General features: G+C 39.6%; 1 protein-coding gene and 1 pseudogene across 2 annotated transcripts; both read left to right on the top strand.

Annotated features, from left to right (window-relative positions):
- PRSS59P (serine protease 59, pseudogene) lies at nt 2,570–6,535 on the top strand (annotated as a pseudogene). Its single transcript, NR_036483.2, has 3 exons — nt 2,570–2,866; nt 3,518–3,671; nt 4,934–6,535. The product of NR_036483.2 is annotated as a serine protease 59, pseudogene (transcript).
- PRSS58 (serine protease 58) lies at nt 16,761–22,676 on the top strand. The gene is made up of 6 exons (NM_001001317.5): nt 16,761–16,828; nt 17,071–17,151; nt 19,146–19,284; nt 19,508–19,764; nt 22,208–22,347; nt 22,449–22,676. Exons 2-6 carry the CDS (start codon nt 17,112–17,114, stop codon nt 22,596–22,598), a joined length of 726 nt encoding a protein of 241 aa, NP_001001317.1. The 5' UTR covers nt 16,761–16,828; nt 17,071–17,111; the 3' UTR covers nt 22,599–22,676.

Below are 24,668 nucleotides of genomic sequence, written 5' to 3'. Positions count from 1 at the left end.
GCAATCTCTTCTGGTTTGTAAGGTTTCTCCAGCCACATCCTACAGGTGCTTTTGGGCTGCCAATATGTCTGCACCTCCCTGGGACAAAGCTCCCAGAGGCAGGGACAGGCTACCATCTTTGCTGTTTTGCAGCCTTCATTGGTGACACCTCCAGGTTCTAGAAAATCCAAGGTGACTAGAGACTGGAGCAGGCCCCAAGCATATTGCAGCAACCCTACAGAAAAGTGGCCAGACTGGTACGTAGGTGCCTATTCCCATATCTCCTCACTGGGCAGGTCCTCCAGGCCTGGGCCTCCAGCCACCCCTCACCAGAGCTGTCATGCCAGTACCAACTCAGCAACTCCCTGGACTGAGCCTCCAGGGGAAACTGACAGCTCTAGGCCACTGCCTCTGCAGTGAATTATGCTTGCCGAGGTCACAATTGAGTGACCTTTATTAGAATATTATACGAGAAATTATAAAGAAGATAGTGACTATAATCTCTTATATCCATTAAATAAATTGTATCGTCTCACTTCTTTACAAAGCAAATAGTTGTATTTAGCCTATTCTTTCCATGAGAAAAGAAAAGAAAAAGACATTTTAAAAGAAAGGAAACTAACAATAGTCGCCTTCATATTCTCATTGGTGAGGCTTTGTGGGAGGGAGGCAGAGATTGAGAATAGAGAGAGAAAATATGGATTTCTCAATGTAAGATAGTAACAAAAATTTTCAGTTCTCCTCCGATAGCTTAAAAGGGTAGATGTTTGTCTCTCTCTACTTGGGGCTTCTGGGCAGCAGAAATGTGAGCTGACTAAAGACATGAAGAAAACAAGAAAATAAAAAAGGAATTCAGGGTAGGTTCCAGCAATGTGGCAGAAACCAGGTTATAGGTTAACAGACTCCGTGGACTGTAGGTGATTCATAAACATTCACAAAGTGATTTCTGATATACTATTTAAAGATGTTTTCAGGCTGGTGCCAAAATTTCCTGTAATATCTCCAAAGCTTCAGTAAAAGTCTGAAACCCACCCTAGAATTAGGTTAGTGGTGAATTAAGAAATAAAATGAAGACAGCTGTTTTCATGTGCTGGGACAAAGAAGGCTGGAGATAAGCAAAGAACTTAGCAGAAATAAGGCCCAGTCCTACCAGATAAATAATTGGAACAAGTAGAGGGATGCTGGATTTCCTAAAATGTTGGGGGTCGTGGGCTTCAACAGTATGGTTGTGAGCAAGGTTTTTAACCATACAGAGCTTCAGCTTGAAAATGGATAATAACGATATTTAATGTATAGGCCTGTGATAAAGGATAAATTAGGTCACACATGCTGGGCATATAGCACAGTATTTGTCACATGGTACAAAACAAATACTGACTTTATTATTTTAATAATTATTATTTTAAAACCTTTGGGTACTAAAGAAATATTGTCCCCAAAAGTTTAGAGTACATGGGAACATACTGATGAGGTTTTAAGTTAATAATTAAATTTTAGGAGAACTAAGTCTGCCTATAATTTTTACAGATATAGGAATGTTATGTTTATGGACTTTTATAACTGATCAGCTCCTTAATTACTCTGATAAAGATCAGTTTGATACTATATAGTTTGCATTTTTCCAGTCTACTCTATATAAAATGTGGGATTGAACCTACTGTTATTACCCGTCTCTGTGGGACAGGCTGGAAGTTACCATATAAGGGTAGCTAATAAAAAGAAAAAATGGGATGCATTTTGAGAGTAATCAGCATAGAAGACAAAAAGTGAACTAGTAAGGAGATTGGTTGCATTCAGATCATCCAATAGGAGAGCATCCAAGATCTGAAGATTATGAAGTATCTTGGCAGGGTGGTTTTGCCCTGGAATTTTTATAGGGAGAAAAAGATAAGTTTGAGGTGGGGAGATTTATAGTGGGAGTTGTTTTACAATCAGGGGGAAGCCTCAGTTAGTTGGCTGAATAGGAAATGTTTATTTTTTAATGTAGCTAGTTTCGAAGAGACAAACCATTCTAATCTCAGCTAATCATTTTTGAAACAAAAAATGGGGAGTTGGATGGTCCATGTCTGGCCATGTCAGCAAGTCCGGGCAAAAGAGGAAAGGTCTGTATTTGATGCATCACAGGTAAGCAAGAGAACCATGCAAAATTTTCTGGGAGCTGGGAGAAAGAAGGGGCAGAGAGTCTTATTTAAGTCATATAGGAAAGGTAGCTCTTTGTGGTAATTCATTTCTAAGAACACAAAACGATGGAGGGATTTCTTAACCATTGCTCTTTTCTGGGAACACAGGCTAAGATAGAGTTCAGCCTTGACACAGAGAATATGGAGACTGAGTTCTGAGTCCTGACTTTGCCACTAACTTCCAAGAGAACCATAGCTTCCTCATCACTAAAATTACAAGGAATGAAAAAAGCAATGATTTATTAAGTGCATTTCATACCCCAATCCTCTGGAAGTCTCTGGAAGAGGTGAGATGGCAGCAAGATGGGCAGGGAGAGCGGTTTAAGTCACAGAGGGAGAAGGAGACAACAAAGAAAGGTTGTGTCATAGAGAGGAGAAGGAAAATCAGCAGGTACATAATAACTCCAGGCAAGATTTGTAGGATAGGAAAGGAGGCACCAGGACCTCGGCTTGGTCTGTGCCACTCTCTTTCACCCACATCAGAGACGGCTCCCAGCAATGCCGTATATATTTGGGTCTTGATAAGGACTCATGTGAAGACTGCTCTCCTCTCATCTGTCTTCTGCCCATAATCTCCACAGCTGTTCTTGGCAAGGACACTTGGACTAAAGATTGGGACAGTTTACAGCTTGATCAACTTGTCTGTTCCTGGCGAGATCTGTCTGCCACGAAGGGTTTTCTCATCGTCGCTCTCTTGAGTGCAGCTGGTGAGAGTTTGGGGCTTTGTTTCTGCCTATTGTGACACCCAGGATAGTCTATGAAAGATTGGAAAGAGGAGTAGCTGGGCACAACTAAACAGCTAGGAAGCGGAGGACATTTAAATAAAACAACCGTTGAAGAAAACAAAAGGAACCACATTAGAGAACATGGGCCTGGAAAAGGGGGGTGAGCTGGGTCAGGGGCTCTGGAAGCCCTAAGCTTTTCTATTTCTTTCATCACCAAAGTCAGGCAGTAATTTTTTACCCCAATTTATGGCAAAAGTGAATTTAAAAAAATTTAAATCACGCCATACTTTTTTACCCCCATTTATGGCAAAAGTGAATTAAAAAAAAATTTCAAGTAGTCATTATTTTTTTCATCTTTGTAACACACAGCACTGCCAATAGGAGCTTCTGATCAGCATGTAAGTAAGTTTCACAGAATTTTAATGTAATTTCATCTCAGCAAAACCATGTGTCAATTTTCTTATTGTGTATAACTTAGAGGACATGCATAATTTTCCTTGATTAAAATATGAAAGGTAAATTGAAGACCTTTACATTACATTTGAAAACCTTAGGTTAGGGAAAACTACCCTAGCCAGTTCTGGCCTTTTAACTTCTTTTTCCCTTTCCACCTATGGCCCCTTGATTCTCCAGGAGCTGCTCTGGCTAAAGACTCTAAAGATAATCAGGAGCTGACATATAATTTTACTATTCCTTACATGGTCTATCTTCAGTCCTTCCCAGAACCCTGCGTGGGGTCTCTCATTCACCTTGACTGGGTATTGACAGCTGCCCACTGCCCCTTACCGTAAGTATCCCTTTCTCTTGCGAGCTGGGAGGAATCTGTTCAAACAAATGTAGATCTGGTGAAGCATCCCAGAAAATTTTTAGTAAAATCAGAAGACACGGAAAAAGAGAGACTCTTGTTCCCATTGGGAAACAGAACACAAATTTGGGCAGTTTAGGAGGAGATCAGTAGGAAGATGTCAGAGGATTCCCTCTCATGGGTAGTAAATAATATTCATTCATCAACAATACTTGTTAAACATTTATTATCTAGCAAGGGCTACTTAATCACTGATGAAACAGTGAAGGAACAAGATGAAAATAAGTGTTCCCTCATGGAGCTTACATTTTGGTAGAGGGAGTAGCCACCACAAATAAATGGCCAAAAACAAAGTATTTTTTTTAATGGCAAGCTCTAATATATGGGCATGAAATAAGAAATCTGCTTTAGTTAATGTGGTCATGTCCATCATCTCTGAAGAGGTGAGATCCATAGGAAGAGAAGGAGCCAGCCAAATGAATAAATCCTGGGGGATATTCCAGGCCAAGGGAACAATATTCATATACTCCCTGAAGTAACAAAGATATTAAGCTGAGAAATCGGCAGGAATTAAGGGTAATGAGCAGGGGGATCGCTCATAGGATGAGGTCAAAGACTTAGGCAGAAGCCATATCATGCAGTGACAGTAGAGGGCAAGGGAGCACGATACAAAATAAAGCAATTCCTTGCAAATCTCAGTGTTTCTGTTGTGTGTGAGAATGTGCTGTGTGATCAAGACCTACTCAGTTTCATGAGTATAGAACGGTTCTTTCAAATTCAGAAATCTTAGCCATCTGGCTGTTCAAGGCAGTTTAGTTTAACGCAGACTAACCTCTGCTCTGTGGTATATGGGAAATACAAAGGAAATACACAGTTCACATCCTTCCAGAATAAAAATTGAAAAGGCAGATGTTCTTTCTTACATCCATACTTAACACATGAACTGGATGTGTGCTGCCTCTCTATTAGCTGCTAATTCAGATGATAAAAATCTTAATAACAAGGCTCCACTGACTTGTGTTTTAGTTGCCAGACACGATGTCAGACATTTTACAAATTTATGTCTCTAATACAACAATTCTGTAAATTACTGCTATTGTTTTATAGACAAAAGAAGGCCATGTCAGTTCTCAGGTTAAGAAATAAAGTTAAAATAATTAAAGAGGGTGGCCCGTAGGATTTCTTGTAATCCATTATCTTATGACTCTCTTTCTTCTCATCTCTCTGCCCTCTTTCTTCCAAAGTGTTGAAATTCGACTGGGAGTTTCTCAACCTAGCATCACAAACAAGAAACAACAGATATGAAACTATTCATCGATTGTGACCTACCCTGACTTTGATGCAAAATCCTTGAACAATGACCTAATGATGATCAAACTATCAACACCTGCTTCACTCAACCCCCATGTGGGGACTATAGCCATAGCCTTGGAACCCATTCCATTTAATGAATCCTGCTTTATTCCAACCTGGACCTGGAATGAATATAAAAACCATATGTGTTGGATGCTGTGTTCTTTATGCTGAGGAGGTTGGAGCTGGGAGAAAATGTAGAGGGATGTCCCTAATGGAAATCGCTGCTATGAGACAATGTTGTCCACCATAGAGGGATTCCTGCCAGGGACCCAAACCACCATCACTGGAGGTCAAAGATAAAATTCAAAGAGACTGATAAAGGGCAGCCACTCTGACACCAACAAATGGAGCAGACAGTAATTTTCATATCTCTAGAATATTGAAGACAAGAGTCCAGAGAACTGGATTGAAATACAGGTGGGAGAAATAGGAGTCCTCGTGCACAGACAGTATGAAGGCAGCCTGCGGGAGGGTGACACCCATTGATAGTTGCTGAAAGCCCATCACACAATGGAAGAACAGTGGGGGAAATGAACATAAAATATATGTGATGCGGTGAAGCAGCAGAAGATGCTTCCTACACCTTCCGCAGAGAACCCAGTTATGTGCAGAGAACCCTGGGAGAGAAGAGAATGGTTGAGGGAGTACCTGTCCTGTCACCAGAGCTGGTTCCCTGCACAGAGTGCTACTCATACCCACTGCTTCTTCCCAGAGTTCCCATTTAGGGGTGGAGACTTTGGTGGTTCGTAGGGAAATTGATTATTATGACATAATCAGTTGTTATCTCCCTGGTCTGACATGCCTCACAAGAAAAACAGTGGCAGCCCATGTTGTAAGCACACACCCATCTCCCCTGTGAGCTGAAATTGGGATGAGCAGAAAGATCCGGTCTCAGCAGGAGTCTGTCTAATAAAGAACACCTGTGAAGAAAACTACTTTCTAATAAGTTTGTTGGTCCTTGTTGGCTGTTACTCCATTATTCTCTCCTTAGGTATTGTTGAGGATGAGGATACCACCACTTGATATCTGAAATGAAATGACAAATGTAAATCTATTGCTTATTACAGCAAGTCAGAGCAATGCTGACCAGGCACCATCCCACTAAGCAGAATGGAGTGCTGATTAGCATAAGGGGTTTGTGGGAAGCTTGGAGTTGAGGGATTGGAGGACTTTCAGAGGTATGAATGGGTTCCATCATCTGTTGAGGCCTGGCTACTTCAGGGGGATTGCTGTTGATTGATTGGTGCTCTGAGGCGTGTTTTTCAGAGGACCTCTGATCCTGATCAGCTGGTTTTAAGAAGTGAAGGCTGACATTGATTATACTGCAAAAGTTATGTTCACTCAAGCAAGTTGTCCTGGATCTATTAATCAGGTTTAAATCTCTCTCTGGTGGCTACAGAACAATGCACGTGCTCTGTAAAAGCAAATAAAAGTGGAATTTTAGAAGTCAGTCTTTGGTAAAAAACAGAAATAAAAAGCAGAAACTATTATATTCTCAGTATTTTGCAGATTCATTTTTCCACTTAGAAGCAAGTACTTGGGAATCTAAGTGAACATGTTTTCTGAACAGTTACAGCTTGTATGATTTTTGTCCTTGATTTTGTAAGTCTTATTCAAAGTAATTGAATTACAACTTACAGAAGTAATTTATTACGTACAATTTGAAAACAAAACAAAACTATTCAGAGGTATATAGGCTCTGCATGTCAAAATCACAGTGACAAACTCTACCTCTATAAGCTTTCTGGTGCAGGGCTTCCAATATTTATTAGAAATTCATTATTTCAAGTAACTTAAGTTACTTTCACCTAGTTTTTTACACATATTTTAATTTAGTTCCCATAAAAACATAAAACTGAACATAATTTCTCTTTCTTCTCTGACCTGACAACTTCTGGCCTAATCTGCTTTAGGGCATTTGATTGGATACACTCTATCAGAAAAAATCCTGCTCCTTAAACAACACTGGACTTAGCTTGAGCAATCTCTGGTCAGCGGTTTTTTTTTTTTTTTTTTTTTTTTTTTTTTTTTTTTTTTGAGACGGAGTCTCGCTCTGTCGCCCAGGCTGGAGTGCAGTGGCGGGATCTCGGCTCACTGCAAGCTCCGCCTCCCGGGTTCACGCCATTCTCCTGCCTCAGCCTCCCAAGTAGCTGGGACTATAGGCGCCCGCCACTACGCCCGGCTAATTTTTTGTATTTTTAGTAGAGACGGGGTTTCACCGTTTTAGCCGGGATGGTCTCGATCTCCTGACCTCGTGATCCGCCCGCCTCGGCCTCCCAAAGTGCTGGGATTACAGGCGTGAGCCACCGCGCCCGGCCTGGTCAGCGTTTTTGTTTCCTTTCTCTTTGCTATTCTCTACCAGAAATTTAAATTACATGATACCTTCGTTAAAGTCCCTGTATCCTGAATTTGACAGTATAATAGCAATTGCTATTATGGAGATGAACAACATGACAACTTCTTGGGGGAAATATATATGTATATTTATATCAATACACATACTATAAACACTTATAAATAATCTGTGTAACTCAAAAAGCAGTTTTATATGCACTAAAAATAGTTTCTCCCTTTATAACTAAACGTGAAAAGGATCAAGTAGATGCCCAATAAAGGTGTGTGTGTAGGGGGAAAATCTTTGAGACAATGGTTTCGTTACTGTCTCTTTCTCCTTGTGGTCACTAATAACTCACAGTTTTTTCAAAATTTTATAAATGATGCATAGCACAGAAAGAACTATGGATTTGATATCTGACAAAGGGGACTTATAAACCTACTTCTCTAACATGGAGATTACTGAACAAGGAATCCTACGGAGAATGGAGTGTCTGCTGCTACCTGCATTGAATATTCTCAGGACTGAATTTATTTACAAAACAGGATCTGGTTAGAAGAGCCCTTGTGATAAGAAGAGTCACTCTGGAGTTTGTTTTCTCTTTCCCACAGTCAGTGATCCTGACATCCTGACATGGATCAACCAATATTCTCTTCCATTCCGTGACTGTCAGGATAGACTCAAAGAAGAACAGGCAGGAAACATCATTTGTGTAGGACACCCTCTAAGGATCCTATCTAAAAACAAGGTATTTCTCCCTTCTCTATACTGGAAGATAGCAAGAGTCCCATGGGAGGAGTGATGATAATGCAGAATCAAAGAGCACTCATCCAAAAGGCCTCCTAAGAGAGAGAAGCAGAGAGCTGGAGTCCCTCTCCTCTCCCTACTCACCTCTGGGTTTCTAACCATTGCCCTTCTCATCTTTCAGAGTGGGAGAGATTTGGGGTAGAACTATTTGTCCTTTGTCTTGCACTTGGGTTGGGTCAAGCTTGAACCTTAGAAGTAAGACTTATGTGGATGTAAAGAGAAGTCTGCCACCTCTCAAGAAAAATAAGCCCATTCTCTTAGATGGTTTTGCTACTGTTATGTGCCGCTTTTTGGAATTTACTATTTTTTTTTTTTTTGGAGATGTAGTCTCACTCTGTCACCCAGCCTGGAGTGCAGTGGCATGATCTTGGCTCACCACAACCTCCGTCTCCCAGGTTCAAGTGATTCTCAGCCTGCTGAGTAGCTGGGATTATAGGCACGCACCATCACGCCCGGCTAATTTTTGTATTTTAGTAGAGACAGGGTTTCACCATTTGGCCAGCATGGTCTTGATCTCCTGACCTTGTGATCCACCCACCTCTGCCTCCCAAAGTGCTGGGATTACAGGCATGAGCCACCGCGCCCAGCTGGCATTTACTCTTGTTCCATAAGGACAAGGACACATTGACCTTCTGTTCCTTCTCTCTATAAGGATGTTTCGGCTGCCCCAGCCATCTGCAATGGGAGGTTGCATGGAATCTTGTCCTGGGCAGAAGGAAGTGTCACCCTAGGAAGTGAAGGATTCTTCACAGGTGTTCATAGCTATGCAAGATGGATCTTGAAAATTATGGATACCCACTGAGGCGCCTCTGTTCCCATATCCCCTCAGTACCACCTCTTCATAATTTCTACACTGGATCTACAACTCTCTTCATCTTTGTTATTTTGGAACAAAATCCAAAGAGGAAACATCTGATTAAAAAAAAAAAATGAGTAGCTGAGAACCTGTGCCATGACTCCTGCTGTCTTTGTCATGTAAACTTTGAGGATAATGAGAAATTTAGCAACCTCTTCACCTTGTGTTTGTTCATTCATTTATTCATTCAAAAATTAACCACTAGCTGTTTAGTAGGCACGGCCTTTGCTAAGGATGCCTGAGTGACTATGACATGACCTTGGCCATCAGTTAGCTAATTACAATACCTTTTGATAACTGCTATAACAGAGATGAGCAGTAAGCTCCACGAAAACATAAAATAAAACATTCTGAGTGGTAGTGCCAGGAGAAGTAACACCAGAGAGGTGGACAAATTAGGGGAGGATATTGTAAAACTGAGCACATAGTTTATTAAAAGGCAAAAAAGCATATGAAAGTGTGGTATAGGCTGGAAAATATATGTAAATAAGCAAACCTTGAAGGTAGAAAATAAATTGTAGAAAAGGAAAAATAATGCCATAAAATATTATTCTATTATAGGCAGGCAAATGTTGAGAGATGAAGGGCCTGACCTGCTCTATAAAGGAACTTAGATTTTTACCTTGTAGGCATTGGAGGGGGTGTCATTGAAGCTTTTACAGTAAACAAAACACCATCCAATTTCTGATTTGAGAGATACTAAGGAAGTAACATCTGTAAGATTTGGACATACTTACTGTAAGAAGAAAGGCAAGGGAGATGTCAGGGATAACTCTCCCAAGTTTTTGACTTGGACAACAGGTAAGATGGTGATTCTCAAAGATAATATGAGGATAACAAGTGCATTTGTGTGCAAGGTATCAAGAGCATGGTCCTGCATGAGGAGACAGGTGGCCTGCTATATTGAGATCCTTTAAGGATGTAGAGGTGGTTATTTCCAGCAGGCAGTTGGAGACATTGATCTGAAATCCAGATGCTGCCTGAGGAGTGACTAACAAACAGGAGTCCTACATTGGTGGGTGGGAGCTGCGGGGTTTGGGAGGGCTCTCTCCTATGGAGAAGAGCTGTGATGGGTGCTCAGCCCTTCTCTCACACTGGCATATGTTGGGGAGATGTGCAGCATCCCATAGCCACTGTCCAAATCATCTAAAAACAGAGACAGAGTTAAGGGGATTCTGAGTGGCCCCCCAAAGTTAGGGGTTTGAGTGACATATGAGAGACCAAAGAGCAACAGAGAGAAAAGGGTCAATATGACATAGGGATCTTATGTTAAAAAAGAAAAGATGGGCAGAGGAGGCCAGTGAAGATGGGAACAGAGAACCACACCATAGGAGAAACCCACTGTGGGAGGCGTAAAGAGGTTTGAGGTTTCTTCCCTTGAGGGGCGCAGTGAATCTAGGGCATCTATAAAGTCTGCAGAGGTGAGTTGGTTTTTGGACCCTGAACCTGGATGCCTGAATGTGTTTTCTCTTCTCCTAAAACAAAACAAAACAAAACAAAACAAAACCCACATGCGGTGACTCAGGTCTATAATCCCAGCACTTTTGGAGGCTGAGGTGGGAGGATTGTTTGACACCAGGAATTTAAGACCAGCCTTGGTAACACAGAGAAACCTTTGCCTCTACATAAAATAGTAATAAAAAAAAAAGCTCCTAACTACATGGGAGGCTGACAGGGGAGGAGGTCACGGCTGCAATGAGCTATTACTGTGCCACTGAATTCCAGCCTGAGTGACAGAGCAAGACCCTGTCTCTAAAACAACAACAACAAAAAACCAAAACCAGAGAGCTTAGGTGCATCTAAGACCAATAGCTTGTTCTGGTCCATTCACAGAAATTTTCTTTGTTCTAAAATCTAGATACTAAAGCCATTTCATTCACTATATGATTATTTTTTTCTTTAATTTCTGGCCCCATCCAAATGACACGTCCTCAGTTTGCCAGTCTTCTCTCACATTTTCCCCAGTTTCCTGTCTCTGACTCACTGCCCAAAGCACCCTTAATGAATCATGTCTGTATTTGTGCCAGAGTTTTTTTTTAATTTCAAATTTTATTTTAGATGCGGGGGGGACACGCGTAGGTATGTTACGTGGGTATATTGTGTTATGCTGAGGTTTGGGGTATGGATCCCATCAACCACGTAGTGAGCATAGTACCTGGTAGGTAGTTTTTCAAACCATGCCCCTCTCCCTCCCTCCAACTTCTAGTAATCTGCAGTGTCTATTGTTCTCATGTTTATGTCCATGTGTGCTCAATATTTAGCTCCCACTTATAAGTGAGAACATGCGATATTTGGTTTTCTGTTCCCGTGTTAATTCACTTAGGATTATAGAGCTCAACTAATTACTTCTTGTAACCCTTGAATTACATCTTTAGCACTTATTGGCAATCCTATCTTCTCCAATAAATTGTTTGTATAATTCTCCGCAGTAGCAATTTCAAACCCTCTCCTCTCTCCTCAAACTTTTAATGCTCACTTTTAGCAGATGACCTCTAGTGTGGGAGTAGAGAAAAACTGAAACCAGCAGAAGATACCTCTCTGAAATTGCCACCACTAAAACTGCAAACATACTTGCTTTCCCCCACCTTTTTTCTTTTTCATTCTTCCTGCTATAGTGGAAGTAAGACCTTATTATTTACAGCCTCTATCTCTACCTGTGAAATGGACCCCATCTTGTCTGACTTCCTCATGGACTTGCTGTATTGATTATCTCCAATTTTCCCTATCTATCACCTTCTTCCTGTTATCATTTAAGGAAAATAAAGCCTCACTCATCTAAAATACAGAACCCGAGGACATGTTTCTTTGACCTACTCTCTGATTGCCTCCTCTATTTCCTTTGCAGGCAGTTCTTACTCGACAAATCCTGCAAAGTCTGTTTCATATGATTCTCCTATCTGTGTCTCCTTGCCTGTCTCTCTCTTCATTCTCTTTTTTACATTCCTTGTTCTCCTTGGAGCTCTGGTTCATCCACCTGGAGATTTCTTCCCCATCTCTTCATTTGGCTAACTTCTACTCATCCTTCAAGTTTCAAACTTCACTTCCCAAAGAAGGTCTTCTTCTGACCTTATATTAGGGTCCTGCGACATGCTTCTCTACCTCCCTTTTCCTTTGACATTCACGATGATTGTTCTTGTTACATCTGTCTCCCCCTCATTAAGCATTATGATGTATGAGAGCAAGCTTCTTATCTCCCTTGCCATGGAATCATCATTATAGAATATGATGCCAGCATCCAGTATGCATTTGTATTAGTTTTCTAATGCTGTGTAAAAACATCACAAATTTAATGGCTTAATAAAAATACACATTTAGGAGGAGTTCAAGAAAAAATTAGTGGATAGGAGCAGGACTAGGTTGCAGCTCCCACTTGGAGGGACAGAGCAGCATGTGGATACCCACATCGTCAACTTTTTCTCCAAGAACTACTGCAGGAATAATGAAACCAAGAAGAAAATTTAAAAATTCTTTGAACTGAACAATAATAGTGACAAAACCTATCAAAACCTCTGGGATACAGCAAAAGAGGTGCTAAGAGGAAAGCTCACAGAATTAAATGTCTACATCAAAAAGTGTGAAATTGCACAAATAGACAATCTAAGGTTACACCTCAAGGAACTAGAGAAACAAGAACCAACAAAACCCAAACCTAGAAGAAGAAAAGAAATAATCAAGATTAGAGCAAAACTAAATGAAATGGAAATAACAACAAAAGAAAATACAAAACATACATGAAACAAAAACCTAGTTCTTTGAAAAGATAAATAGAATTGATAGACCATTAATGAGCTTAACCAAGAAAAGAAAAGGGAAGAATCAGATAAGCTCAACCAGAAATGAAATGGGAGACATTACAACCAATACCACAGAAATACAAAAGATCATTCAAGGCTACTATGAACACCTTCACATGCATAAGCTAGAAAATCTAGAGGAGATGGATAAATTCCTGGAAATATAAAACCCTCCCAGATTAAACCAGGAAGAAATAGAAACTCTGTACAGACCTATAACAAGCAGCAAGATTGAAATGGTAATTAAAAAGTTGCCAATAAAAAAAAGTCCAGGATCAGACAGATTCACAGCTGAATTCTATCAGACATTCAAAGAAGAATTGGTACCAATCCTGCTGACATTATTCCAAAAGATATTGACACTATTCCAAAAAGGGAATCCTCCCTAAATCATTCTATGAAGGCAGTATCACCCTAATATCAAAACCAGGAAAGAACATAACAAAAAAGAAAACTACAGGCCAATATCCCTGATGAATATGGATGCAAAAATCTTCAACAAAATACTAGCTAACAGAATCCAACAGCATATCAAAAAGGTAATCCACCATGATCAAGTGGGTTTCATACTAAGGATGCAGGGATTGTTTAACATCTGCAAGTCAACAAATGTGATATACTATATAAAAAGAATTAAAACAAAAATCATATGATTATCTCAGTAGATGCAGAAAAAGCATTTGAAAAAATCCAACATCTCTTTATGATTAACACCCTTAGCAAAATCGGCAAAATGTGGCATAGAAGGGACATATCCTAAGGTAATAAAAGCCATCTATAACAAACCCACATCCAACATTATACTGAATGGGGAAAACTTGAAAGCATTCCTTCTAAGAACTGGAACAAGACAAGGATGCCCACTTTGATCACTTCTATTCAACATAGTACTGAAAGTCCTAGCCAGAGCAATCAGACAAGAGAAAGAAATAAATGGCACCCAAATTAGTAATGAGAAGGTCAAACTCTCATTGCTTGCTGATGACATGATCGTATACCTATAAAACCCTAAAGACTCATCCAAAAAGCTCCTAGAACTGGAATATGAATTCAGCAAAGTTTCAGGACACAAAACTAATGTACACAAATAAGTAGCACTGCTATGCACCAACAGCAACCAAGCTGAGAATCAAATCAAGAGCTCAATCCCTTTTACAATAACCACACAAAAAAAGGAATATAGTTAATCAAGGAGGTGAAATACCTCTACAGAGAAAACTACAAAACACTGCTGAGAAATCATAGAAGACACAAACAAATGAAAACACATTCCGTGCCCATGGATGGGTAGAATAAATATTGTGAAAATGATCATACTGCTAAAAGCAATCTACAAATTCAATTCAATTCCCACCAAAATACCACCATCATTCTTCACAGAACTAGAAAAATAATCCTAAAATTCATGTGGAACCAAAAAAGAGTCCACATAGCCAAAGGAAGACTAAGCAAAAAGAACAAATCTGGAGGTATCACATTACCTGACTTCAAACTATACTACAAGGCCATAGTCACCAAAACAGAACGGTCCTGGTATAAAAATAGGCACATAGCCCAATGGAACAGAATAGAGAATCCAGAAATAAAGCCAAATACTTATAATCAACTGATCTTCGACAAAGTAAACAAAAACATAAAGTGGGGAAAGGACAGCCAATTCAACAATGGTGCTGCGATAATTGGTAAACCACATGTAGAAGAATGAAACTGGTTTCATCTCTCACTCTACACAAAAATCAACTCAAGATAGACCAAAGACTTAAATCTGAGACCTGAATCCATGTAATTTCTAGAAGATAACATAGGAAAAACCCTTCTAGACATTGGCTTAGACGAAGACTTTATGACCAAGAACCCAAAAGCAAATGCAACAAAAAGATAAATAGATGGTACTTAATTAAATGAGAAATCTTCTGCACAACAAAAGAAATAATCTGCAGAGTAAACAGACAACCCTGAGAAAATCTTTGCAATCTGTATAGCTGCCAAAGGGCTAACATTCAGAATCTACAAGGTACTCAAACAAATCAGCAAGAAAAAAAAAAACAATCCCATCAAAAAGTGGGCTAAGGACATGAATAGATAATTCTTAAAAAAATACTTACAACTGGCCAAAAAACATATGAAAAAAAAATCAAAACCACAATGTGATACCACCTTACTCCTGCAAGAATGGCCATAATCAAAAAAAAAAAATAGATGTTGGAATGGATGTGGTGAAAAGGGAACACTTTTACACTGTTGGTGGGATTGTAAACTAGTACAACCACTATAGAAAACAGTGTGGAGATTCCTTAGAGAACTGAAAGTAGATCTACCATTTGATCCAGCAATCCCACTCCTTGGAATCTATCCGGAGGAAAAGAAGTCATTATAGGAAAAAAGTTCTTGCACATACATATGTCTCCATAGCTTTGCCTTTCCCAGAATGTCATATAATTGGAATTATATGGTATATAATCTTTTCAGACTAGCTCTTTTCACTTAGCAATATGCATATAGGTTTACTCCATGTCTTTTCATGGCTTGAGAGTTAAGTTTTTTAAATCATAAAATCTCTGAATAACATTTCATTATATGGATGAATCACACTTTGTTTATCCATTTATCTATTGAAGGACATGTTGGTTGCTTCCAAGATTTGGCAACTTTGAACAAAGCTGCTATAAACATTTATGTGTAGGATTTTTGTGAACACAAGTTTTCAAATCTTTTGGTGTATCAAGAAGTGTAATTGCTGTATCATATAGTGAGGTTATGTTGAGCTTAATAAGAAACTTCCAAGCTATTTTCTAAAGTGACTGTACCATTTTGCACTCTCATCAGCAATAAATTCTCACCAGCATCAGTTCTTGATACTTCATATCCTCACTAGCATCTGTTGTTGTCAGTGTTTGAATTTTAGCCCTTCCACAGGGTATGTAGTAGTATCCCATTGTTGTTGTAATTCCCTAATGACATATTATGTTAAGAATTTTTTCATATGCCATTTACCATCTGTATATATTCTCTGGTGTTATCTTCCCCATCACTGCAAAATATATCTGTTTGAAGGCCTAAACCTCAATGCAACTGTATTGAAGATAGGGCCTAAAAGGAAGCAATTAAGGCTAAATTAGGTTAGAAGGGTGGAGCCCTGATCCAATAGGATTTATGTCCTTATAAAAAGAGTCACCAGAGAGCTTTCTTTCCCTCTTTATCTCTGTGTGCACAGAGGAAAGGCCATGTGAGGAAGCAGTAAGAAGGTGATCATCCACAAGCCAGGGAGAGAGGCCTCACCAGAAACTGAATTTGACAACACCTTGATCATGGACTTCTGACCTTCAGAACTATAAGAAAGTAAGTGTCTGTCGTGTAAGACACCTAGACTGTGGTTTTTTTTATGGCAGTCCAAGCAGACTAAAACATTTGGTAAGGATCTTTGGCCCACTTTTAGGTTGTGTTGTTTGTTTTCTTAATGTCGAATTTTACTATTTCCTTATACATGAATTATTTAGCAGATATGTGTTTTGCAAATATTTTTATCTAGTCTGTGGCATATCTCAATTTTTAGCCCTGAATACTTTGTTTCATAACCATCAACTTAAGTATCATTCCCACTAGTCTGTAAGCTCTTGGAAGGTAGGAAAGAAATCCTTCAGTTGAGGCAACCCCAACAGCAAGCACAGATCCTAGCACAAGTTAGATACATAAGATAAATAATTAGCAGGTTGGTTCACAGAATAAATGGATAAACAGTGACATGAAGGAAAAGGTTAATGTATTTCAAAGAGGAGTTTAATGTCAGGCAGAGGAAGCAATGTCAGCTCCAGAGGGCTACATTATGTCCACTGGAGAAAAATAGCATCACACAGTGGGAGATAGCATCACACAGACAGGAGGGGCAGCAGCCCACACATAGTTTAGAGGGGAACCTGCCTACCAAGGCTGGCAAAAAGGAGACCAGACAGGAGGCGTCTGTAGAGATATCATGAACTTCAACTTAGCTTTGGTACTTTCTTCCCTGAAGACAGAGGGCAGAACTCTGAGTTCCAGAACCATTTTCAACTGTATTGGGGACCAATCACTTGACTCTATTCTTGTCTCTCTGACAGATGACGCTACACTCTCCTCTGAATAATGGACACCATTTCTAAAACTGAATCCTGCTACTAAAATAATTCAGATGATATATTTTTCCAATTCTACAATCTTGCTTTGTTTTATTTAGTTGTTTTCTCTCTCTCTTCCCAGTTTTCCAGAGACTGGAGCTAAACTGGGCTTTCAACATCATCATGAAGTTTATCCTCCTCTGGGCTCTCTTGAATCTGACTGGTGAGTGTGTGCATATTTGTCTCTTTACCCACCAAAGAGAAATCCTGGGAAAAGCATGAAAGACGGGTAACAGCGAGAGGCATCATTCCAGAATTCAAGTGTAGGATGGTCCTCTGTCCCTCTCCACTGCCCCGTTCCCATCAAGTTTCCTCCTGTGATAGTGCCTGCCTGCCTGCCGCAGGAGGTTTGCTTGTGTGCTTTTGTGGGAGGCGTGGACATTGTCACTCAAATACCAGACCCACTCCTAAGACCTGACTCTGGACCTGTCTGCAACAGGATTGATGTTCTGCACCACAGAGGGCACAGCAGAACATTGAAGAATCAGATATCTCCTGGCACAGTTCCAGTTACTCAGGCATAAACCCAGGCTTATTCATAAATCCTCTCTTTCTCTCATACCCCACGTTTGATCTCTTAGAAAAATGTTGGCTTTGTCTTCTAAATGTATCCTAAATTCAATCACATCTCACCATCTCCACTGCTCACAATGATCTAAGCCACCACCTCTTGCCTGGATTAGCAAATTATTCTCCTAACAGACCCCTCTACCTCTATACTTCTACACTCTACAGGTTCTCCATGAGGAGACTGTCATCACTCCTTTGCACAAATCCTTGAGTGGTTCCATTTGTACTCAGGAAACAAGGCCGAGTTCTTACGATGGTCTACAAAACCCTCCATTCTTCTTTGAGCCCCTTTCCTCCTCTGCTCCCCTTCATTCACTCTGGGTCAGCAGCCATGGCCTCTGTGATGTAACTGACACAAGCCTCAGGACCCATGCTGCAGCTGTTGCCTCTGCCTGGAGTCCCTTCACCCAGATATTTGACTAGCAACTTCCCCCGTTTTCATGTTATTGTTCAACATTGCCCATGAAGTTATACTCTGATGACTGGTTTAATATTACCTGAGACTGGAGTAATGGCTCATGCCTATAATCCCAGCACTTTGGGAAGCTGAGGTGGGAGGATCACTTGAGCCCAAGAGTTTGAGACCAGCCTGGGCAACATATCAAGACTCCATCTCTATTAAAAAAATTAAAAAATTTAAAAATTAACCAGATATGGTGGCACACACCTGTAGTCCAAGCTACTCAGGAGGGTTTGCTTGAGCCCAGGAGGTTGAGGCTGCAGTGAGCCTGATCTTGCCACTGCACTCCAATCTGAGCAACAGAGTGAGATCCTGTCTCAAACAAACAACAAACAAATACTGCCTGAAACCCCTCCTTCTCCCCCAACACACAATTGGTAATACCTTTCTCTCTTTCCCTGTCCTACTTTTATTTCCATAGCACTAATCACCATTTAACATCATATATAGTTTACTTGTGTGTTTTTCCATAGCACTAATCACCATTTAACATCCTACATAGTTTATTTGTGTGTTGTGTTTATTATTACTGAATATCTTCATTAATTGTAATATATGAGAGCAGGAATATCTACTTTGTTCACTATATAGCCCAAGCCCCTAAAACAGAGCTTGACATATACTAGGTGCTCAATGTATATTTGGTAAAACAATACATTATTTTTCCCCTCCTCAGACTCTTAGCATTTGGTCTGTTCTTGTCATGATACTTATATAATTCTGTCTTGAGTTGTTGTTGGGAAAAAGAGATAAGACTTATTAAAGCATTCTAAATCAGAATGCCTTAAGACTTATTGAAGCATTCTAAAATTGGTAAAAATAGTGAAAAAAATTCGTTGATTTAGCATACAACCCACTAAATTGTGGAAGGTATTTAAGAAAGTTGAACATTTAATTTGAAAGATTTTATTGACAGTGAAAAAGCCAAACACTTTTTATTTTTCAAAAGAGATATGTTTCTACCATTTGTCTTTTCTTCGTGTTTTAGAACAAAGTAAGTCATTTTACAGATAAAGTTGCTAGAGAAAAGGATAGGGGAACTTGGAGCCTATTAAATGACTTTCCTGAAGTTTTTCTGGTGATGACTGAGAAATCTTGGAATTTCTTGTCTATGCTTCTCTTTCCAGTTGCTTTGGCCTTTAATCCAGATTACACAGTCAGCTCCACTCCCCCTTACTTGGTCTATTTGAAATCTGACTACTTGCCCTGCGCTGGAGTCCTGATCCACCCGCTTTGGGTGATCACAGCTGCACACTGCAATTTACCGTGAGTGATAAGCCTTCAAAGGCACTCCATTCTTTGGGTTCTCAGGTTGGGCACAGACTCTCACCCCTGTCTGAGACCATCTCCCAATTAAATGGGATTAGAAAAGCCTTTGGGAGACATACGAGGGTACAGAAAAAGGTCTGTGGGGAGGGATAATAGAGGCTCATAATGATGGAGAAGCCATCTCTGTTAAGTCCTCTCATAAACGTCTATATTGTTCCAGAAAGCTTCGGGTGATATTGGGGGTTACAATCCCAGCAGACTCTAATGAAAAGCATCTGCAAGTGATTGGCTATGAGAAGATGATTCATCATCCACACTTCTCAGTCACTTCTATTGATCATGACATCATGCTAATCAAGCTGAAAACAGAGGCTGAACTCAATGACTATGTGAAATTAGCCAACCTGCCCTACCAAACTATCTCTGAAAATACCATGTGCTCTGTCTCTACCTGGAGCTACAATGTGTGTGATATCTGTGAGTTCAAGACAATGTTCTTCTCTCAGAATTAGACATGCTTCTACACCTTCGCGACTCTTGGCTTCTTCAATTCGGCCTAGTGAAGCTTTCTTCTAACCTCTTTCCCCCCTTTCCTTTTCTCTGTACCTCACTGAAGGAGTGCTTCAAGGTTTTTGGGTTTTTTTTATTCACCCGCTGTATCTTTCTATCATTTTCTCTTTCATATATGATAGAAGTGGTTTTAGTGGAAAGAAAACATTTGTATTCCAATCCTAATTTTCTATGTGACAGCAGGTCATTTTACCTTGGAGCCTCAATTTCCTTAACTCTAAAATAAAGCAGATTACTCTGTTGTATATTTTCAAACCATTTCAGGCAATAAAGCAACTTGAAGCTTTGAAAAGTCAAGAAATAAATATCAGTGTATTAAATGTAAGATAAATATATAATATTTTACTAAATGCGATAGAACTTCCTTATGTAAGATTTTAATAAAGATACAGAGTTAAAGTTTTAAAAAGAACTTCTGAAATAAACATTTTAAACTGGTAACATTCTAAGCATTCACTCATTTCTTCAGAAAACTGACAAAGGGCTACCATTATTTTTATCAATGGAAGTTTTCTATACATAATTTGAAACTCCTGAACTAGATAGTCTATCTAAACTTTGTTCTAGGCCTCATGTTTCATATTCCATAAAACACCCACAACTTAAGGCAACTTTCTGTTTTCTAAGTTGCATCTCCATCTGCCCATTACTCCATCTCCAAATTTCTATGCAAACCCTAATTAACTGTCTATAGTTGCTAATTACGAGAGTTGAGAGTAGTGGTGAAAGGGAGTTGATTACCTATTAGCAAAATAGAACAATGATATATAATCCCTTGTGAAGAATTATTAATGCAACTTTACTCATGAGTAAGTTTGAGTATATATAATATACATCATACACTAGATACCATAGTATGAAAAGGAGATTTATTTGAAACAAACCTGTCAGATTACATTCATCTATCCATCACTACTTTCTTTTTATAGAAACCAACAGGCAGATGTACACTTATTCTATCATTGTTGCCATGATTCAAGCCTTTTAAAACTAATCCTTAGTAAATACCTTCAGATTTAGAGCACATTTTCTTGAATATATCAATAAGTAGAAATTATTTGTCCTCTGAGAGTCAATTTGATTTTTGGAAAGAGCCAAATGTCCTTCTGTGAGCAGTATGTTTGATTCATCTGGGTTATGGCATAAGGTTCAAAACGAGATATGACTTCAAAAAAAATGCATCTTATTTTGATCTGGGTCATCAAGTAGTTAAGTAAGCATTTCCTACAGAAGTATTCCCAAAAGAAATGTTTAGCCATGAAATTATTGCTTGGAAAATAAAGTGAAGGATCTTATACATTTTCTTTTCAAGAACTAATACATTATTTTCAAATAAAAACATTAAACATACTCTTCCATTATTAAAAAAACCAAAATCTTAAAATACAGTACTTCTTCCCAAAGAAATGTCCGTGGAAAGAACACGTGCCACATGTGTTCATACTACTTTGTTGTTTTTCTCATTTTGTTTCAGATTGGACAAATTTTGTTACAAGTGTGCACAATTCACAGTATTTGTGGACTATTGATACAAAGAAAAGAACTTTAATTAGGAACCAGGAAATCCAGTTTTAAATCTTAGCTTTACCATTTACTAGCTTTATATGTTTAAGAAAACTGCTTTTTCAGTGACTTTTTTGTGCAGATACTCGGTTTTGTTTTGACCTGACAATTGAGAAAGTAGGCCAGATATCTGTAAATTCATTCAAACTCTAAAAATTACATCTCAAAAGAAACCCTTTGAATGTTTAAATTTCCAGAAAAGTTTTTGGGTTTTTTTGAGATGGAGTCTCACTCTTGTCACCCAGGCTGGAGTGCAGTGGCGCAGTCTCGGCTCATAGCAACCTCCGCTTCTTGAGTTCAAGCAATTCTCCTGCCTCCCAAGTAGCTGGCATTACAGGCACTCATCACCACGCCCAGCTAATTTTTCTATTTTTAGTAGAGACAGGGTTTCACCATGTTGGCCAAGCTGGTCTCGAACTCCTGACCTCAGGTGATCCACCCATCCTGGCCTACCAAAGTGCTGGGATTACAGGCGTGAGCCACTGTGCCCAGCCAAATTTCCAGAAAAGTTTAAGACAAAGTGTTTCATTTCATTCCTGGAGTGTCTCACATGTACATGTAACTCCCAAGAATTTGATCACTTTTATAAGGTCACCGATTTTGCATCATAAGAAATTGTTAATCTGATCATCTCCTATACCCTCGTTGTCCTAACTGCCACAGTTCTGACTTCTCTGAATGTTTGATCTCTTTTAATTTCTGATGGTAGAAGAAGAAAAGTTTTTTAAAAGAAGTTTTAATACCTAACAAAACTCTTAAGGAAGTTTGACTTCTATCTTTTCTTTAGACAAAGAGCCCGATTCACTGCAAACTGTGAACATCTCTGTAATCTCCAAGCCTCAGTGTCGCGATGCCTATAAAACCTACAACATCACGGAAAATATGCTGTGTGTGGGCATTGTGCCAGGAAGGAGGCAGCCCTGCAAGGTAAAATACTCTTCATCCATTAATTTTCCCATTTTCTTCCTTCTGTCTTGCCAGAAAGATAATCTGCTTTTTTGTTGTTGTTATTATTGTTTTCCTGGCAGGAAGTTTCTGCTGCCCCGGCAATCTGCAATGGGATGCTTCAAGGAATCCTGTCTTTTGCGGATGGATGTGTTTTGAGAGCTGATGTTGGCATCTATGCCAAAATTTTTTACTATATACCCTGGATTGAAAATGTAATCCAAAATAACTGAGCTGTGGCAGTTGTGGACCATATGACACAGCTTGTCCCCATCGTTCACCTTTAGAATTAAATATAAATTAACTCCTCACATTGCCCCATGCATACCTGTCTCAATTCTGCTAAACAGAGTGGGTGCTTGAGCAGTTTTACTTGTACATATCTTCACTGTGATTATTCATAACAACCCTTCTTGCCTTCTAGATAAGGATGGAAAACCCAAAATTCCTCAGATAATTGAAGTTTATGAAGTGGGAATTATGTTCTCTCTAACGAATTGGTAACTGACATAAAATAAAGGCCACTCCACAGCCATTTGGGGTACAAAACCCTTTACTACATGCACCAAATTAGACAATGTGTGATTTTGGCACATTACTATGCTGATTGAAAAAAGGAAGTCTAATAAAGAGGGATCTATATAGAAGGGCAAAGGTGAGAGGGGAGGGGAGGGCAAAGGTGAGAGGGAGGTGTTACACTTAGCTTCTCCTTGCCCATGCAACTCTCAATGCCATCGATGGATTCTGGTCATTCATGTTGCAGGATTCTGAGTGTTTACTGGAGACATGAGGAGTTACTATAAAAGTTAACTGAGGTTTATGGCACAGCAGATAAACGGGAAATCAATGACAGATTTTCCTAGTACATACTTGCCTTTTATATAAAGCTAGTTGCCCAGGAACTCCACTTTCTCACTCTATAGTATTTTCCTCTCTTCCTTCCTTCTCTCTTCACTTCACCCTGCAGTCTGTTACCCCCTGAGAGTTTTAATTGATAGTTTTAAGTGGAGAGGTGTTTTTTTGGCCAGTTGACTGAGTATTTAAAAAAACAAAAACAAGAACAGATTTTAGAGAGTTCAGCCTGTGGCTGCTACAAGTGGACTACTGGAGTCTTTCAGCCCAGCTAGGGAAGAAGAGAACCCCCTCAGGAAGCAGAAGTTCTAGTAGGAAAACTTCATCTATCCAGGGCTCTAAAACCCCTAAATCAGTAACGCCTAGCTTGCAGTATTGAGAAGCTAAATTGGGAGTGCGAATTATTAAGTGCAACTGTGACAGCTTCATTTGCACATATTTTATTAACTGAAATTTTAGTTTGGAGAGGAAAATGGTTTGGAGACCATTTTTCAGAGGAGCACCTTAGCCTCTAAAGATGTCTCCCAACTTGAGCTGGTCCTAAGATTTCAATAGGTCGTAGTGATATTGTATAAGGCCAGCTGATCCTAGGTGGTGAAACATGGCAAGGCCACTGGATTCCATAAGCATTAGCACTATCCATAAGACTCCACTAGCACTGTGAGGTGACCTCCTTGGTTGGAGAATACATCATTTTTGTGTGGAATGCAATAAGGCATTCAGAGAATCCAAGGAATGTGATGCTAGGACAGTAACGGTGACAGGGGAAAGAAAATCCAAATTCAGAATATGTTATTTTGAGTGAGGACAAATAGCTACTCCCTCTGGCCTGAGCTGCACCATGTTGCCCATTTCTTTCTTACTGTACATGTGCTAACAAAAAAGGGAAGATGAAGCTTCTATGGTGGACATGCCTGGCCCCCAGGTACACCTTTTCTTTTGGTGTAGCTGCAGGCATCTCCCCATGCAAGTTTCCAGCTTTCTTACCTATGTTTGCAGCTCAATATTTCAGGATGCTCTTTGTTAGAAAAAAAAAAAAAAAATGAGGCCAGGTGCGGTGGCTCACGCCTGTAATCCCAGCACTTTGGGAGGCCGATGTGAGTGGATCACCTAAGGTAAGGAGTTTGAGAACAGCCTGATCAATATGGTAAAACCCCATCTCTACTAAAAGTACAAAAATTAGCCACGCGTGATGGTGGGCAATTGTAATCCCAGCTACTCGGGAGGCTGAGAGAGGAGAATCGTTTGAACCCGGGAGGTGGACGTTGCAGTGAGTTGAGATCACACCACTGCACTCCAGCCTGGGCAACAAGTAAGACTCCATCTCAAAAAAAAAAAAAAAAAAGATTTTAAAAGTACTTTTGTTCTCATCTACCTTTGTAGAGAGGTTTTCTGGGTTGGGGGATTTTTTTTCTCCTTGAATTATTTCTAATAATATTTATTTATGAAAT

Source organism: Homo sapiens, chromosome 7, assembly GCF_000001405.40.
Source record: "Homo sapiens chromosome 7, GRCh38.p14 Primary Assembly".
NCBI lineage: Eukaryota > Metazoa > Chordata > Mammalia > Primates > Hominidae > Homo > Homo sapiens.
This window is presented reverse-complemented; position numbering and strand designations above follow the sequence as displayed.